Below are 19,606 nucleotides of genomic sequence, written 5' to 3'. Positions count from 1 at the left end.
GCTGAGAAATCCTGCTCTAGACCGAATGACTGAAGCACAGCAGCTTTTGAGTTCTTTCATACAGGCAATCTATCCCATCCTTATTAGTTTATCCATGACAGTTCTGACAGTGTATGGCTAAGGGACTAGACCATGGTCATCAGCCCTATGACATTCATTCCAAATCTACTCAAATAGGGCCAGGGAAAGACAGAGGGAAAACTTGAGGTTAGCTAAACAGTAGATGTCAAAAGGAAAAAAGAAATTGTATCGTATATTAAATGTTGAAGAGGCAAAATTACCAAACATGAGAGCAAGCAGAAAGACCTTTCCTTAAATTTAATAAAGCAGAAAATGCAACTTTTTATTTTGAATAATAAATAACACCTTACATTACAGTGATGTTCAAAAGCCAGCATGCAAGGCCAGTAATCTCAGAATTTTGGGAGGCCGAAGTGGGTGGATTACTGGAGACCACGAGGTCAAGATGAGCCTGGGCAACATAGCAAAACCCAGTCTCTACAAAAAATACAAAAATTAGCCAGGCATGATGGTGTGCGCCTGCAGTCCCAGCTCTTTGGGAGGCTGAGGTGGGGAAACAACTTGAGCTTGGGAAGTCAAGGCTGTAGTGAGCCAAGTCGTGCCACTGCACTCCAGCCTGGGCATCAGAGTGAGACTCTGTCTTAAAAAAGAAAAAGAAAAAAAGAAAAGAAAAAGAAAGAAAGAAAAAGCCAGCATGCTCTCTTAGCTCTGCTTACTGCCAAAATATTCCTTCAGCAGTAAGGTGCCGCTTCCATATTCGTGATTGCAAAAGGAAGCTAATTAAAATGAGTTTTTTTGAAAAACATCCTGGGAATTCAAAATAATTAACGTGTTGCTTTAAAAAATGAGAAGTGATGAATCTTGATGTTAAGGAGTCGACGTGTTTACCTCATCAATATTTCACAGGTGTATTGCCATGAAAATATAAGAAATTATCTACTGCTGGCCTTCCCAGAATTCCCTTTCATTTTTTTTTAGAATCTCTTTTCAATTAACAGTTTCCCCTTCCTTAAGGTGTTTCCAGAGAAATTTCTTTAAACGATTCTGCTTTCTACATGGAAGGCATTCTAACTGACATTTCTATTTCTACTATGAAATCTGCTCTAGGAAAGTTTTAAACTCATGCATATGGGGAGAAGATGGCTGTGTCTTAATAAGAAATTAGATCATCCTGCCTAAGCCTCTATCAGCAGGCTGTCTGGAATCTACTGAGCTATTTTATCAGAGAAAGTCTTCCAGCAAAATGGTTTATGTGCATGCTGTTAAAGGAGTGAATCTCTCAGGGAAGTCGCAGTTATCTTGACCCATGACCGGAGAGGAGCCAAACAAATTAGGCCTGGCCAACAACTGTCTCCTGCAAGGCTGGGAACAGCCACAGCTTTAGCAAAGAGAAGGGTCCTCAACCTTCCCTCCTCTGTTTGTGGTGCAAGGATTGATAAAAGCAGTCCCTGAAGGAAGGAGCACTTTGAATATTTCTCTTCAAAACATATCTCTACCATGTCTGAGAGTGTTCCTTACAGGACTGTTATACCAGAAGGCCCATGTCTACTGGATGCTCCATAAACCCAGAAAAAGGAGCACATGTATTGGTATTCTAAGAATATGACAGACTTTTTTTTTAGAAACGTAATATAAGAAACACGCATATATATACAAACATGCATAAATATGTATGTGTATGTATACACATATGTCGAGAGAGGAAGAGAGAAATTAACTGAGTGATCAATTCATTCAAGAAAAATAAATTAGAAATATCGTAAAATGTCCATCAGGAGAATGGTCAAGCAAATGATGGCATATTTATATAACGGAGAAAAATCGGAAAAAAAATTGTAAGCATGCCTACTATATGTCAGGTGTTTTCACATTATCTTATTTAATTCTCCCAGTCAATTATCGTTTCAGGTAAGAATCATTATCCCCAATTTACAGAAGACTAAATGAAAAGCACATAAAAGGTATTAATAAGTTGCCTTGGGTCATGAAGCTGGTAAAGAGCAAAGCTGAGATCCACATCCAGGTGTTTTGACTCCTGCTTAGTGTTTCTCCCACTGCATCCATCTCTCCCCCAAGATCTACATGTGAACTAGGTCAATCAATGGAATTGTAAGTATAAAATAATAGTAAACAAAAAGCAAATCATAATGTAGATGCATTGATTTTAATCACATGAAATTTTATATGTACTGAAAATTATGATAACCAAGAGACTGACAGAAAAAACCTGAAATTAAAATCATCAGAATTTGTTCCTCCTATTAAGTTGCTTAAGCACTCAAGAAAATCACCAAAATTAGCTCCTCAATGCATGCCTGTTCCAAGCTAATTAAAGTTAAGAAAACTCTGTTTAAAAGCTGAATGTGGCTGGGCCAGGTTAAGATAGAGAAATACCTCATCCTTCATAAAACACCCAGCTCCTTCAGAGCCAAAGTGACTGGCAGAGGGATGAAGTATATCAAAGGATGGAATTTCTGTAAGTTAAAAAGCTTTGAGAGCAAGTTCATATCTCGGCAGAAATCTCCTTTTCTTAAAATTAGCACTTATACCATATAACATTCTTTGAATTCTTCCTTCAAACAAAATAATTTAATTGAGGGAGATTCTCTTTCCTAGAGAGCATCTATCACCTGCAGTCAAAGAGAAATACTTTATAACCTTCCCTTCTAGTTCCTCTCCTCAGATTTGGGGGCTACACTGTTGCCTAATGGAGTGGCCAAAACCAAAGCATGAGTCTCACTTGGGCCTTCTCACATCATGCTGTAACTTGCAGAAATAACCAGGGGTGAGCGTTGAGTGTTGGTGCTCCCTCCTCCAAAGAGTAACCGGGAATTCACAAGAATAACTGTCTTTCCAGAGACAAACTCAGAAAAGGCTCACCAAGTGTGCAGTCCTAGTGTGCTCAAATCCATGAGCTGAGAATTGAGCAAGATGCCACTTTTATCTTGCCGCTTGGTTCTTTCATTTTTATAATAGGCAGTTATGTATGCCTTCTAATTCAGCAAAAGAATGAAATGTTGACAAAGGTTTTCTGAGATTGTTTTTAAAAAGAAAATAGCCTATAAATACAATTCATACTGGTGTCAGTTTCTTTATGAAAAGTATTTCCTATTAACAAAAAACACGGAAATCCAAGTTCCCCAACTGGTTTCCCTTAAAACCTCTGTTTTGTTTTAAAGTTACATAATAATAACCTCCCTTGGTTCTCTTTTGTTTTAAAACTTCCACCTATTTGCTCTCTTCTTTTGTCTTGACTACTAATAAAGAATCCTGGTTCAAGAATCTAGGAAAATGCTTGAAACAACTACAATAGGATTAACTCATAATATTATTAAATTTGAGAGTAGTAATTTGACCCATAATTAATTCGAATCTTCCTAACAACTACACAGAAAAAAAATCAGTTTGCTAACATGGCTGGTCTCATTATTGGCTTCCAGCTGCAGCCCCAAAGGTTTAATAAGGACATCTATTGACATTTTTAAAATATGCCAGCCACTCTATTAGAAGCTTGTATGTATTATCTCATTTAGTCCTCGAAAAAATTCTAAGAAGTAATTGTGAGGACTGTTATTGTTGTTCCCATTTTAGAGATGAAGAAACTAGGGCAAAGAGAAGCTGAGTAACTTGCCCAACATACATCATTCATCTAGTAAATTGGGAACTAGAGTTGAACCCCACACAGTCTGGCTCCAGAACCCATGGGACCACCACACCATCACTGGTACAGACTGCTATGGCCATTCAGCGGGCTCCTATATCTGTAAGCCACTGATCCCAAACACAAACTCAAACTCACATCTCTCATCATTTTCACTGCTTCCCTGGTCCTCCCGAGTCTTCTGGCACACATTGCTAGCCTTCTTTTGATGTACACCAAGACATTGGTGTCTCGTCCTGAAGAGGGAGATATAAAACACCAACATTTAAAAAAAAAAAAAATACAGAGGCCCATTTGCCTTGCCCCTAAAGGAAATTTTCATAGCACTGACAACTTTGTTAATAGTAGAATGAAGATCAAGTAAAGTAAAAGCACTTAGACTCCCAAAGGTCAAATCATCTGACTAATTACCTAATCCATGCTTTTGAGTGAGGATGTTGAATATTTGATAATAAATAAAATCATCTGCCACAAAGTGCTGCGAAAATGAACATACCCACAGTGTATACGGTTTACAAGCAGGAATTCCACATTCTTCAAGCGTGCATTCTTTTGGTAAAGATGCAGAGGTGAATCTCAGGTTACATCCTGATGAACTATTTTTTTTTCATTCTTGACATTAAGTCTGGAGAAGCCTCATCTTAAACTTCTGCTTTATATTATTCTTTCCCTAACACTAGTGACATCATAATCATCTCCAGGTCCCCTAAGCAGTTGATTTTAGATGGCAATATAACACATTCCAGATATGACAATAGAGTATGCAACAAAATGAAAAACTACCCTAGTGTTAGAGAAAGAATTGACAAGCTAAATAGTTGTAACAACAATCACTAAAATGACTCTTAAAAAGTACGTTAACAATTTCTAATCTTAATCTTTTATTTAATTATATGTCTTGTTGGATATGTTTTCAGACCAATGAGAACATGCATGTGCTTAATCCTCGATAAAAATTACCATGTTTGAGAAAATATGACACACCTGTTATAGATTAAGTACATGTATAATATGCAGCTATTAAAAGATGTTAAGACCAAAGTCCTAACATTTCAAGACTTAAACAATGAGAACAAGATGTGTGCTGAAAATCTGCCAAGTACCTACAAATTATTTTAAAAATGTGATTATATTTTTGGATGGATTTAGGCAACAGGTTGAAAAGATTTAATTTAGAGAAGAAAAGAAAGAAAATTAATGTTGTATTATAGGTTATGTAATTTTATGTATTGATTTCCATTTAGTTCACAAAATACACATTTACTACATGTCTTCAAAATGCACTGCATTACACTAAAATACTTTTTTATTAAAAAGTGAGACATAGATGGTGATTAGAGACTTTATTAGCATATATATGCTGCAGAATAAAAATAAAAACTTAGGAATTGATGTGGTACATGTGAGGACATACTCATGTATATGCAGGCTATAATGCAAAGATTTTGCTGGCACCTTAGTTATGGGGACTAATGCAGTCAGTTTCTACACCAAACCCAAGTTTAACGTTAACATTTAATTTTATAATCTCAAATATGAAGGAGATACATCCCTACTCTCTAAGTTTCAGGAGGGAGAAACTAAGTGAGAAACAAAATAACTTTGTGAATTTTGGTTGGACCATGGAAATACTCTCAAATTTTGGTTGGACCATGGAAATACTTAACTCTCTTACCACAAGGACTGCTAAATTTCTGCTTCAACAACAAACAAACTGATGAGTCGAGGGGCTCAGGGAATTCCAGAAATGATTTCGTTGTTTTGTTTCTATACTGTTCCCCCACGAAATGTCATTGGCTTTCAGTTTAGTATACTGAAGTGAAAGGTCTCAGATTTTAAAGAGTTATCTTAAATTTAAAAAGGCGTTTTTTGGGGAGTTTAAAAAGGCATTATTTTAATATAAAAAAGATAAATAACTAGGAGCTCATGGCTCTTTCTCTCTGGAAGCCAATACCAATGTTTCTTATGTAAGAGATAAATGCTGATACAATCACCAATAACTTATATTCTTAATTGTCCTATTTCAATCCATGTTGTAGAAGATCTATAAGATAAAACCTTTGCTAACACTATGGCTAATTTAAATCCTGTTTCCCATCTGGGTTTTAAAGTTGTGAGCAGAAGCAACTGATGAACAGAAATATGTAAGAACTCAGGAGGAAAAAAGGTTACTATTAAAGGTTACTGCCATTTATTTCTGCGGTTAGGAATCTATGGGCAGGAAAGAGAATGTGAATATAAACAGCAATGAAGCTGTAAGTTAATTATTTACTAACTGCACTTATAGGAAAGAAGAAAATTAATAAAAACAAAGCAAAAGCCAATATTTTCTCTTGTCTAGGAGAATCATATTTTGAACTGGACTAAAAATTTGCTCTGATTAATAATTTTTACAATTCTGATCCCCCAATGCATCAACCTGCAGGAAACCTTACTATGTTGGGCTTCATACTGGGATCCATGATGTTGTAGCTGCTGAGAGCGTCGGTAACAGCCATCTCCAGCCTTCAGGGCCTGCTTAAATAATTTTTCTGCTTCAGCAATGGTTGTTGCTTCCTCTTCAGCCAAGAGAATATAAGCAGTTGCACACCTGTTCATTCAGATAATAGCCACCATCAATTACAAAGCCAAGGACATGGTAATAGACTGTAGGAGCTCATGCAGAAAGGCAAGGAGTTACGCCAAAACATGCAGAGTGGCCAACTGGTTCATGCACTCCTGTTTGTAGTTGCTGACACAAAATAATGGTACAAAAGAAACATCTGTATTTTAGCTTGAGAGGTAGGATGCGTAGTGTTAAGAGCATGGGGCTCACATGTGGACTTCACCCTTTATATTAGTGTGTCACTTTGGGCAAGTTCTTACTCTGCCTCCCTGATGGAGAACAACATGGAATCTTTGTTCACAGTGTTGTTGTGAAGGTTAAGTAAGGTGATGCATGTAAAGTGCTCAGTACAGTAGCCAGCATGTGGTTAAGTGCTCAATAAATGTCAGCTAGTGATGGTGATGATAACAGCTGTTATTAAATAGTTCCTTCCAACACTCAAAGTTAGAGGTGCTATATACAGGTTTACTTCTGTTAACTAAACACAGATTATCTTCAATCTAAGGATTTCTTCAGAATAAGAAATTCGTTAAATCAAGTTACTCACTGAAAAAAAACACAGTGCTTCAACATCTCTTTACAGTTAGCACTGACTTTCTGCTTCAGAGAACACTGGAAGAACCTACAAGTAGTGTTATTTCTGAAGAACTCAAAATCTGACTCAGCCACAGTAGCTAACAAGTTAAATCTCATGCCTTCAACAACAATAGCTACCACTTGTTGCTTAGTATATATTAAGCACTGTACCAGGCACTTAACATATATCATCTCATATAATCTTTTCAACAACCCTCTTAGGTGGGAAGCCAAAAGGATAATTAATGAACATGGGGAGTTCTTGTGAATTTAAACCTTCCAAAGCATATGAGGAACAACCCACTGCCAAAGAAAGGGAATGTAATAGGGAAGTGGTGAGGCTGTAACAGACCACGCAGGTCCTGCACCCATCCTTTCACTCTCCTTCCCCACTGCCTCACTTGTGGCCATTTCCCTACTTATTTCCATCAGACCACAAGAGAGAAAATAAACAGAAAGTAAAACCAAATGTTACTTTTACTGTCCACAAACTGCAATAGCCAGCTAGGAAAAGGAGGCTGAACTTCACAGCTAATGTAAGGGCTGGGGCTACTAGTTAATCTTAGCCTTAGGAAGGGTCTGTAAGGTCTTTAGCCAGTCTCTCTAATTTCAGGCAGGAACCATCAATGGGGCTTTAAACAATGTGGTGAGGTAGGGAGAAAAATGCCCAGAAAAACAGCTATAAAACCAATTTCTACAGATGGCAGCATCCATGACTTGGAAAGAACCATAATGATGCTGAAACTATACAAGTGATTCACTGGAGAAAATAACTGGGACAGGCATCAGAAGAAATGCTTAAGGCTTCAGATGCCAACATATAAATATGAGGCAAGGGTAATGAAGTGAAAATTGAGATTGTAATACTGAGTGGTAGATACAGTATCAGAGGAATTAGCTATAAGATTGTAGTTGTTGGGCTGGGAACCCAAGAATGGTTGGGGCTAGCTTGCTTGCTTTGCTTATTTATATTTCAAATGGTATTCTTAGGAGGAGAGGCAGAGTAGCACTACTGGCCAAGAAACATACATCTATGTGGAAACGCATGAGTTTGGGATAGAAACATGCTAAGAGCTTGTGAGTGAAGGAAAAAGGAGAGAGCAATAGAAGTGCTAATGGTTGGGGAGTACAGAACAGACTGCTCAGCTCGATGGAAGATATAGATGATGCATCCTTGTCACAACACAATACACATACAGAAGCAAGAAAGTGTGGTGATGGGGGTGTCAACCATCCAGATATCCACTAGAAGTCTCATTTGGTTAGAAGTAGGGCACCCAACAGGTTCTTGACTTACTTTGGTAACAATTTTATCTCCCAGATGGTAGAGGAAGCAATTAGGGGAACTTCAACTCTGGACCTAATTCTGACCAAGAAGAAAAAAATAGTTGGTAAAATGAAAATTGATAGGAACATTCAGAGAGAGTCACTATGTCATTTCGGAGTTCAGGGTAATCAAAGAGGGGAAGGTGGACTTCAAAAAATTCAAAGAAAAGAGGCATGATTCAATGGCATGAGATTCAGAAGGAAAAATGGTTTAAGAGGGTTGAGCAGCTTCCAAATGTTCAACTGTAACTGCAATCACAAATGATCCTCTCAGGAAGAAAAGAGGGGTGGCACTTAAGTAACCAACACGGCTTCACAGAGATTTCTCCCAGGTCAGATTTTTAAAGGACATATTTTAAAAGATGGAAAGAGGGCATGTAATGATGGTCTATAAGAGAGTGGAATGAGCTTATAAGAATAATGTCAGGAGAGCTACAATTCCAAATTAGCTGAAGCTTGCAAAAATAACAATAATAATAATAATAATAAAACAAAATAAAATACTAAAGACAACCATTTATTCCCTATTTTAAAATTATATTTAAGGCCCTATCACCGTCCCCATGTCACAAAGGCAAATAAGTAAAAAAAAAAGACAAACAACATAATAACATCAAAACAAGGAAGGTTTATTGTTAAAAGCAGTAGATAATAAAGAAAAAGCAAAACTCTCTCCCTCCTATTTTGTTCCTGGCTTCTCTATCAAGGAGAATGACTGTCAGACTGAAAAAGGGAGAAGAAATTAAACTCTAAAATGGGTAAAAAGATGTAAGATAGCAAATAATTGATCCATTCTAAATGAATTACTGGACTGGATGGGCAAATCCCAGGAAACCGAAAGACCTTGTAGGCAGGCCATGGAATTGCTCTCTGTGGATAGTTGAGGAATCACAAAGAATGGAGAGGTGCTAGAAGATGAGATGATAAATGTAGCATAAATTTTCAAAAAGGGGAAGAAGGCAGACTTCCCAAACTACAGAACACAGTGATTTGGAAAGATATTCTAATGGATTATTAAAGGAATGGTCTCCAAGCACTTTAAAAAGAAAGTAGTGACGACTAGAAGCCAGCTTATATTCACTAAGAATAAATAAATCAGATTGTGCTAGCTTAATTTACTGTAATAGATTTACTATAAATTTAAGATCCGCAGCTACGATTGGCATTCTTAAGATCCAAATGGAGAAATATGAGCTGAGTCACAGTGTAACTGGGTGGCTTAGTAATTGAGTGAACAATACAAAAGATGGTGATTCATGAAGACATGAACCTGGAGGGTAGTTTCTATGTCATGTCACAGGGCTCTATTCCTGGCCTTCATATTTTTCTCAGAAATATGGATGACACACAGAAGGCAGGCATATCGAATTTGTAGATGACAAGAAACTGGAAAATAAATATGTTGCATGACAGAATCAGAAACCGTAGATCAACTGGTTACAATGGCAGGATTTTCAACTCTCACGACAATCTTTTTTTTTTTTCCCTAAGATCTCTGAAGAAGATTCTGTAACCTTCTTCAGAAAAATCATAAAATAGTTTAACAATGACCACTTGGCAAGGATAGTGTTGAGGTGATTCAAGCACCAGATGGGTGGTTCAGCTAAGTGACCTTTAAGGTCTCTGCCAACCCTGAGTTTTTATGACTCCAACTTTAAGAATCTTTCTCATTTTCTGAGATCTCCAGAAGAGATTTCCCAGCCTTCCTTGGTAACCCACAGAATGTTTAACAACACTCAAGACAGCATTTCCTCTTATCTTTGTCTTAATCTTGAAGTATTTTCTAAAATTTTTTTTTTAAACCTTATGTTGTTATCATGTTTTCCCCACTAGCAGAAGTTCTACTAGAAAATGTTCTAGTGCAGATGAGCATTCTACATCTGGAAAATTTTCCCTGTCAGAATGTTTTAGATATGTAAAGAATTGTATTTATTTTATATCCTCACAATATCCTAGGGATAGCCCTTCAAGAAATTAATTTAGGATCACAGCAAAGCCATTGAATTCATAAAATGACTAAAACCACCTCCACATGGTGGCTGTCCTTCATTTAAAAAAAAAACTTTTTTAAATAGAGTAATAACTCCCCAAATAATCCTCCAGTTCAAATGCAGTTTAATTTAAGTATCCTATCAATGGCAACTGAATATATTCAGCAAAGGATGAGATTTCCTTTTTAACAGCAAGATTTTCCCCCACTTACTCATTTATCTCCAAGGCTTCATGAGCTGCAGAAATCCTAGCTTGGGGGTTTCTCTCTCTCCAGGCTTTCTGCATTACTATTTAAGAAAAAGAGAAAACACCAAGTCAATCCATACATATAATTAGGTAGACTCAGTAGAGGACAAGAGCTAAATTAGGAGTGTCAGCTTAAATTACAAGAACATATTTCATTGCTAAGAGGGTTGGCCAAAATCTCCAAAGTCATATTAGTGTATTAATGTGCTATTCCACAGTATTTCAACTGCTGATAGCAAACCTTTTTTGTGCTCACAAAACTACAGGCTAAGGAAATCAAGAAAAGGCACTCTAACAGAGATTTTGCGTGTCTTTTGCACATTAATGTCATTTGTTCTTGGAGAATATATTTTATGCATTTTGAGATGACATTGCTACCAACCTTTTCATTCACTTAGATACAACATAATTGGTCATTTTCCGAAGCACTTAACACAGACTCTTGGTGTTAGAACATTCTGAAACCATTTCAAGAATTATGCGTGGGTCAGTAAAAAATGCTTAAGCTTTTGCTTAACATGTGTACTTATATCCCAAATTTACCTGCAAACCTAGCTTTTATACATCAGAGCAGTTTCTGAACATATGGTGGGAAGCTCAATGGGAATATTTACTGTACCATGATGTTTCTACCATAGCAAAGAGTACCATTTTACAAAGGAGTAACAATCTCCTTATTTATTTTATAAATTTGTATTTTATAAATTATTTTAGAGTGTGTAGAGGTTCCCTTTCAAAAACATTTTTTCACCTATTTACTTTGAATAAATTTTATAACAAAAAATTTCAGTTGAATTATCTGAAACTCAAGTAATGTAAAATACACACTAAACAAAGTATTTTCTCAGATGGAACACACATCTAGACTCCAATAGCCAAGGCCATGACCCCATTCGATGCTAGTTAACCTATAAATAGGCAAATAAAAGTCACTAAAATATATTCATTAATCATCTGAATCCAGTAAATTCCAATTTCTACTTTGAATATCATAAAGGAGATAAGGCCTTCATGCTAACTCAACCAAGAACTTCATTAGCTTCATATAAGATTCATATTTCTTTAAAATATATAAAACCAACTTCGATATATTTTTAAAAATCATGATTCAAATTATTATGAGGGGACTCATTTCAACATAAATACTTCATTGTGATAAAGGTTTACTTAATTATCAGAGTTCTGGGTTCTTATTAGTCAATCAACAATTTAATATTTTATTCATTGGAGTTTTACAGAGTGGATATTCTAAAAGCAGAAATCTTGACACTTAAGCCAAAAAGCCCTCCCATTCAGAAGGATGTATGGATTTTTCATACTTGCATCTGCGGGACGCAGATGGTCCGAGTCACAAGTAAAGAATGTCTGGTGGTCTTGGGCAGAGAGATTCATGTCATAGTAAGTAAGAGGCTCTCGTCCTGTCACCCAAGTATACCTGCAAAGGAGAAATAAGATGATTAGACACTTTTGAGAGAGAAAAGCAAGACCTATAAAATATTAAGCTGCAGAGGCGTTGAAATATAGACCATTAACTGAATACTAAAATAGCTTTGCTAATGAATAAAAAAAATTTTTAAAAATCATCTTATTCTCCCTTCAGGAATTATATCAGTCAAAAGAAATAAACATTTTCTCCTGTGTTTTTGTCTTAAAATTTACTAGCCCTTGCTAATGAAAACCTTCCCTAATTCATATTATGAATAGACACTTTCCTAAAGCTATGAAAATTCTAATTTGCCTAATTACTTTGCTAAACTAAATTCCAACATAACTTCTGCGACATCTCTATAACCATATTCCAGGTAAGCTTCAAAATGTTTTCAATGTATAGTATATATTGAAAAGAATAACTGTTAATACAAAAACTCTAAAAACTACACATTTTTGTACATTATCCCAAATCTAGTGCTAAAATATTTATAAAACAGAAAAATCAAAACATTTGAAGATAGTATTAAAAAATGGACGCACTACATAGACTGTTACAATGACCCCTAAATGAACCAGCAAAAACATTTGCTGCTGTCTTTGCTCTCTGAACCAGACCCATTTGTTTCCCAAGCTGTCAAAATGCTTACCGATTGTATTCAGCACCCCTAAATAAATTTAGTGGATTTCGCCATACTTTGCATTCTGCAACAAAGAGAAATATGAAAATGTTACGCGTAAGTTCAGTGACACTACAAGCTAATTAATTCAGCAAAACACCCTTCCTGCCATTTGATAAGATAATTCTATTCACTACCCTTTACATGGGAAGCAATGTGGAAAAACTCTGGGTGGTTAATCACAAAATGTGGCTCAGGCTCCGGGACTTTGGAAAGTTTTGCCTAATCTCTCTGGGCCTGAGTTTCCTCACTTGCCAAATCAAGATGCATGCCAAAATCAGCTAGTTCATAACTCCTAAAATTATTTCAAGAGGTCCAAACTGATTCTATGAATTTACTTCTAAAACCTTATAGATAAAAGTATAGGCAGAAGTAAAACTATTTTCTGTCAGTCTAAAACATACCTCATAATAACGTTGTACATGACAAGACAAACTATAGAGTATAATATGCAAACAGCCTTATAGTCTTAATTTGGGTTCATGCTAACAGTGATTTTATGATAATTTACCAGTTTGCTTTTGCCTTACAGGAAAGGAATAAGAAAATTAATAAGATTACCATATTGTAGGAAGAAATGCAATTAAAAGAAATTGTCTCAAAGCATTTTAATATCATTTACTTGCACAGATACATATACTAATCATCATACTAATATCATCATGTTAGCACATCCTAATAGGTCATACCTCTTTATTATACCAGGACCACAGAAATTTAGAACAAAAGGACTTTAACTTAGAAAAGCCAAGCATTAACTTTAAGACTGTGTTATAATGGTAAGCATATGACTAATAAACTACAATTCTTTTAAAACAGTCTATGATTAAGACTTTCTACTGATTCAGAATACTAGATTTTGGATGAATAAGATTTTATTATAAAAAAATCAGTTAATAGTATTCAAAACATCTATGTGCGTGTGCAACCAGCAAAAACCACATCCAACAACATATGTACAAAAAAGTGAGCAATTATTGCAGAAATCCAAAGGACATTGAAGGCCACGTGGTGATTCATTAGGATCCTACCCTCAGTCCTGTACATTCAACATCCATCCATCCACTGAGCATTAATTTGAGCACCCACTGGAGGAAATAAGTAAACCATCAATTTCAACACAGTGTGATAATGGAGAACACAAAGCACTCTGGGAACATGTGTGTAATCTCAACAAATATTTGTTAAAATAGTAAAGGATATACACATAACAGGAATACGTGTTTTCATTTAAAGAAGATGTACTTATTTCTAAATTAGGGCAGGATCCCACTTAAAATTTACACAATATTTATAAATAATGGCCCTAAATTTTTTGTCACTTAGCTTAACTTGCCATTTAGAAAATGATCTTTGTCCACTTAATTTAGCATCTCTGAATTTTGTTCTTGTGAAACTGAGATTTGATGGCTGTCACTTCATATGGCATTAACTACAAAATTATGCTTCCTGTAATTATTTTTTCTCCCCTTAGAGGAATCACTAACACCTTGACTCCAGATCATGGCTTGAAACACACTGGTGAGCTCAATAACCATAATCCCTGCTCTTATGGCTATTATAACTACCTGGACCTCACCACTGCCAACCCCTGCTCAGAGAATCTCTTTTAAGATTCAAAGTGCTCTTCTTAAAGCTTCATGAATATTGCAAGATCTGTATCTAGCACAAAATAAACATGAATATAGATTTATGGATAAGGATCCTCGTGGTAGAATTATTTACTATAAAACAAGGACATTTGGGGAGATGCTTCTCCTCCACAGAATCTCATCTGAAATATTAGTAAAAAGGCTAGGGCAAATATTTTGTCTCCAACAAATACATCATCATACTACCTGGAAGGATAAACACTGTTTAAACATCAATTGACAAATCACAAAGAAAACTGTTTTCAATTAAAATTTCGACTCTATTATATATCAGATGCAATTGAAATTATTTCTAAACAAAAAATAACTCCAAAGATAAATCATGTATATACCTAAAGTATTCACTGAGCAGTATCTAAAGATGCTCTTTATTTAAGAAGTGTCACAATACAGCCAGCAGGGGGTGCAGCAAACATTGTGAAATATTGCTTTTATGACTTCCATTAGAGAACTGAGCTTAAAAAGAAATCTGTGTTAACATTGGTGTCATATATGTGTGCTGCATTCAGTTTAACTATCCCTAAAACTTAGAAAAAAGGATCTAAGTAATTGTAACAGATGTAAACTGTTCTAAGTGAGAATAAAACATGTAATGAAGAAGTATCTAAGAAATGTCTTCATTAGTTATGCCCTTTAAATTGAAGGTGCAAGACAGGTATATTTTTATTTTAAGAAACAAGCAACCTAGAGGTCACACATGAGCACATGTCAAAGTTGTGCTTTAAAATTAGGCCACAGCTATGTTAATTTCTTCTTTGTCCCTCTGTTCCATAATCTTATCTTGTCTGCAAAAACTCAATCTAGAATCACTCTAGGTAACATACCTCATAAATATCAGGCTATGTGATGGTTTAGTGATAGAGACAAAGGATGTAAATGCCAAGCATATTAGAATATGAAGATTTAAGTCAGGAAGTACTTAGATCTCTAGAGGGTAAGAGTTTCTTATGTGTTCCTTTAAGGAATAAATTCCTTATTTCAAATCAGATTTAAAATTTTACCTCCAAAAAGGAATTTTCCATTCTCCATTAACATCAACAATTTTAATGCCCTCAAGATGCACTAGAAGTTGATTGGGACTTCATCATGAACTTGCTAATATCAATAATAATATAGTTAAAAATATACCCTTGATACAACAAACATGCTCTCTATAGTTCCATATGCAGCAATTCACAGTGCAGTCTCTACTCACAAGTGCTGACAGAAATGTTCCATCCTTAGCACACATGCAAGAATGAAATTCAAGAAAAAGGGCAGCAGCAAATATTGAATAGCACTTGCTTAGTTCCCAAAGTCTGCGGAAGAGATTCCCTACTTTGTCATAATGAGATCATTACAAGCTTCTTTGTGAGAGACAAAGAACCTAAAGAATAATGTTTACTATCTACAGCTAAGTACTTCTAAAAGCAAGCTCTAATCCTTTTTTTTCAGCCCTCCCTCTCACTATTCCCTACTAAAACCTTCCATCACAATCATACTTATTTATTTCATGTCTTTTCATACTCTTCTACTCTTCTGCAATGCCCACCCCATCACTCATAAGACTGTGTGGTTTAAACATGTATTGAGTGGGTAATTATGCATTAATCTCTCAATTAGGCCATGGGTTACAAAAAAAGATAATAGCTTATGTCTTAGAGGAACATTTAGCCTTGGCAGAAAAGTGAAAAGGGTATTGAACTAACTGGCACCCACCTGAAGAAGCTCTACAGAGGGAATAAATATTCTGAGAGAACCACAGACTTTTCCCTTTGTCACAATACTCAAGAGAAGAGAACTCAATTCTCATAAAACAAACAAAAAAAAGGCTCTATAGTCACAGAGCTTTTAATCACACAGAAAGAAAATATTATTCTACACCCAATTTAACTCTGAAAACTTTTTTCTAAAATTAAAAAAAAGATAGAAAATCCCTAGTCATGGGGACTTCAAAAATTATAAATTGCTAATTCAAGGCCCAGAAGGGTTTCTTATACTAAAAAGTTACCACATCTTCCCAGAATCTAAAGTATGGATAAGCATGACAATGTTATTACAAACAGTAGTAGCAGCAACTTTTGTTGTTGCTATGAGCTTGATTTTCATGGATCCTTTCTGTAAAGGGGCTTAAAGCTCGATTTATCTACATTCCTTACATACATTAGTTAGGGGTATATATTACACCCTTTTTACATAAGTAAAAAGTACAGAAAAGCTAATTTCCCTAAGGTCTATGGTAAATGAGATTAAGGCCTGGTGTCCAGACTGCCCGACTCTTATCCATTACATGCAACAAACCTGTTAAACCCTGCAACATCATATTTTGGAAATATTGTGAATCCATCAGTTAGATTTTTCACTAAAGAAACAATTTTTAAAAACTCCCCTGGAAAAACATTAGGAACTTTTTAACACTTTTAAACACTTTAGTTTCAAAGTACAACAGAAAAGGGTGCTAGCTAAAGTTTCATTGGCTTGTATTATAAAATTAACCCCAAGCCAGTCAATTTCTGACAAGTGATTGTGCATATGTTTATTAGCTTTGATATCTCAGAAATGAATACCCAATTCTCTACATTATTCAGATCAATTTAAAGCAATCATTATTAGTAAAAATATCCATATTCTTAAATAATTAAGCTTTAACTGTTTCATAACTTCAAAATGTTATTTTGAAACAATGATTAGAAGTAAAGGCACAAAAATATGTAGGTAGCTTTCAATTCAACAAATATGTTACTATCTCAAATTCTTTATGAAATAACAAAAGATATAAGTAAATGTGAATTTTAAGACCATTATTTTGGCCTCCTATTCAAGATAATGTACCACTTTCTTCAAGAATACTGTCGAGATGGTTAAATCTGTAACAGCATCTGTCATGCACTTCTCATTGGTCATTTTTCACCTAAGTCAACCAACCCTACCAAATAATGTGGAAATTATGAAATAACTTTACTAAGTAAGTGTTCACTAGCTACTAAAACTATTTTAGGTATTATCATCATTTAACTGGAGACCTAATTTGTACTAGAGCACAAATTTTAGTGTCAAAGGATTTTAAAAAGATGTGAAAAACACTGGCTAAGATAATCACTTTCAACACATCCATTAGATTTTGGTGAGTTTACCCTCATTAAGACTATTAGAGAGCAGCCCGAAAGGTCCTTGACATGTAGCATTTTGCAGTTTTGCTGAGGGATATATTTGAAATGAAAGCACTGAATGGCCTGGATATAAAGAGTCACTCAGCTAGTGAGTAAGCCCGGCTGACCACAAAGCCATACCTCCAAGTGACTGCCATTCTCCACAGTCGTATTTGTAGAGAAATCAGCTCATCTGGGCACACTGCCAAATGGCTGTCCTCTGACCTGACATTTCCACATGACCTCATTTAATGCTGAAATGACTTTATGCAGTAGACATTACTGCTATTCCCATGTTTGCAGATTAAGATACTAAGACATAGCAAAGTTAAACAACTTGCCCAAGGTCACACACAGAAGATTAGGACCACATCTGTCTGACCCCAGAGCCCGAGCTGTCAACCACTGGCAATCCTGCCACTGAACTGTTCCTACAGTAAGTTAGGTTAATGTCACTTCAGAAATAATGTCATCCACTGCAGTACAGAATTTTACTAAAATTATTATTTTAATTGCTTAATAATTATGTTAATCTTGGTTTATACACCTCATAGAGGTTCTGGACAAGGTCAATTCAATTTTTTAAAGTGCTTAAGAACTTGGATTGTGAAGTAAGACTACCCAGGTTATCCGCCATGTGACCCTGGACAGATTACTTCACCTTGCTATACCTCAGCTCCCTTAACTATAAAAGAGAGATAATAATAATATCTGCTTCCTGGGGCTATTGTGAGGATTACAAGAGACAATATCATATAAAGCTGATAGCAGACACTAAGAGTGTTAGTTATTATTATTGGAACCAAATGGCTTCTTATCGATAAAATTATTTGTTCTAGTGCTATGAAAATTTGGGACCGACGAAGGTCTTGAATATATTTTTTTTACTCTACCTAAATTTCTACATCGCCATTGTTTTTCTTTATGATCTGAATTTAATCAGCACTTAAATTGCTTCTGGCCATGTAATAAAATTTAATTCAGAATTTAGAATATATACATTTATATAGAATTATTAAAATTATTTAGAATTTGGAATATACATATATACTTATGAAGATTAAAAGGAGATGATTCGTGACAGGAAGCCAAGTGACTATCCAGTTTGTTTAAAGATCCAATTCTATGCAAGAGGCTATTAAAGTATCTCAGAGAATTTAAACTTGACTTTGGCAGGGATATTTTTCATGTGACAGAGCACTCTCCACTTTTCCCATTATCCTGAAGAAGGTAAACACTGCAAACCTTTGTCTTTATGGCATCTTATTTGAGAACAAGGCAAATTATCAAACAGATGTTCCTATAAACTCAAATTCAGAATGTTACTGGGCCCTTTTAAATGCCTATTTATCATCAGCTCATAAACTAAGCTGAATTAAGAAATGGTAGTGAGAAACATGGTGATGTGGCAGAATATATCAGCAGGGTTTATCAGAAACTGCATATCTGAGAGGAAAACAGCAGTTTAGCTCCCAAATAAAGCAAAACCAGTGGAATGGACACAAATGCTAACTTCAGCCAAACAATCTGAAGTTTGAAGTAAGAAACTGTATAATTAACTACATTTCTCCACTGGCCCGCAGATAAAGATCACTGCAAATTGTGAGCAAGTCTGCATTCAGGCCACTTTGTACAAATCCAGAAGTTTAAAAATATATGCACAATCTGCCTGTAACCATAACAACCTTTCTCACTCCTCACTCCACCACCCCCATCCCAAGTCGTTCTTAGGTAGGCCATGTTTTTCAGCTTTTATTCAAAACAAATTATTCCTTAAGGAAAGAGCTACACTGAATTTTCATATAGAACAATGTTTATAACTGATATTTCCCCTTTATTCTTACTTTTTTCAATGATTTTCTCAAATAATCAATAAAATACCATTACACTGCCTTTGCCAACATCCATGAGACTTTGTGAGCCATGTTATATTTCATGTACAATTCAGCAAAGGGCCATCTTATGATGCTCCAAGAAAATCAATAGATTCACCCTTCTGTTATTAAGGCAATAGTCATTTTATTATTATGAAGGCAATGGGAATTTGTAAACAAGTTTAAGAAAATACACTGATAACCCTCAGCTTTGGACCTTCTTGATACTTAGCATTTGAAATGAGACTATGAAATAGAAAGTGATTAAAAGTAGAGATAAATTCAGACAATGTACCTAATGTACCCTTTTAGTATTTTTCTTATTCAAAAATCAAAATCACCACAAAAAAACAGAAACAGCAATGGTATTATTCCAGTGGTATCTGGCACTTCCAAACTAGCATACATGTTTGTTTA

The 19,606-nt window shown here is 35.4% G+C and overlaps 1 protein-coding gene and 1 long non-coding RNA gene across 19 annotated transcripts in view; one reads left to right on the top strand and one right to left on the bottom strand.

Moving 5' to 3' along the window:
• Nucleotides 1-19,606, bottom strand: part of ST7 (suppression of tumorigenicity 7) — a 276,676-nt gene that overhangs the window by 87,824 nt on the left and 169,246 nt on the right. For 9 of the 17 annotated variants that reach the window (NR_161420.1, NR_161422.1, NR_161418.1 and 6 more), the window contains 6 exons: nucleotides 12,506-12,560; nucleotides 11,747-11,862; nucleotides 10,393-10,468; nucleotides 8,161-8,229; nucleotides 6,118-6,272; nucleotides 3,821-3,918 (listed from right to left, as the gene is read on the bottom strand). Coding sequence is in view for 11 of the 17 variants with exons in the window: in NM_001369598.1 (NP_001356527.1) it covers nucleotides 3,821-3,918; nucleotides 6,118-6,272; nucleotides 8,161-8,229; nucleotides 10,393-10,468; nucleotides 11,747-11,862; nucleotides 12,506-12,560 (569 nt within the window). In the remaining 6 variants the exon portion in view is untranslated. The remainder of the gene's footprint in view (nucleotides 1-3,820; nucleotides 3,919-6,117; nucleotides 6,273-8,160; nucleotides 8,230-10,392; nucleotides 10,469-11,746; nucleotides 11,863-12,505; nucleotides 12,561-19,606) is intronic. The other 8 variants (NR_161421.1, NR_161423.1, NR_161419.1 and 5 more) reach the window with 1 other exon arrangement.
• Nucleotides 1-19,606, top strand: part of ST7-AS2 (ST7 antisense RNA 2) — a 73,521-nt gene that overhangs the window by 3,240 nt on the left and 50,675 nt on the right. Inside the window, exons 3-4 of one of the 2 annotated variants that reach the window (NR_002331.3) lie at nucleotides 11,666-11,825; nucleotides 14,010-14,056. The exons of the other annotated variant lie outside the window; for it this stretch is intronic. This is a non-coding gene — a long non-coding RNA (ST7 antisense RNA 2). The remainder of the gene's footprint in view (nucleotides 1-11,665; nucleotides 11,826-14,009; nucleotides 14,057-19,606) is intronic. 2 annotated transcript variants of the gene reach the window in all.

Source organism: Homo sapiens, chromosome 7 (genome assembly GCF_000001405.40).
Source record: "Homo sapiens chromosome 7, GRCh38.p14 Primary Assembly".
Taxonomy (NCBI): Eukaryota; Metazoa; Chordata; class Mammalia; order Primates; family Hominidae; genus Homo; species Homo sapiens.
The sequence above is the reverse complement of the archived record's forward strand: the minus strand, read 5'-3'. Positions and strand labels throughout refer to the sequence as shown.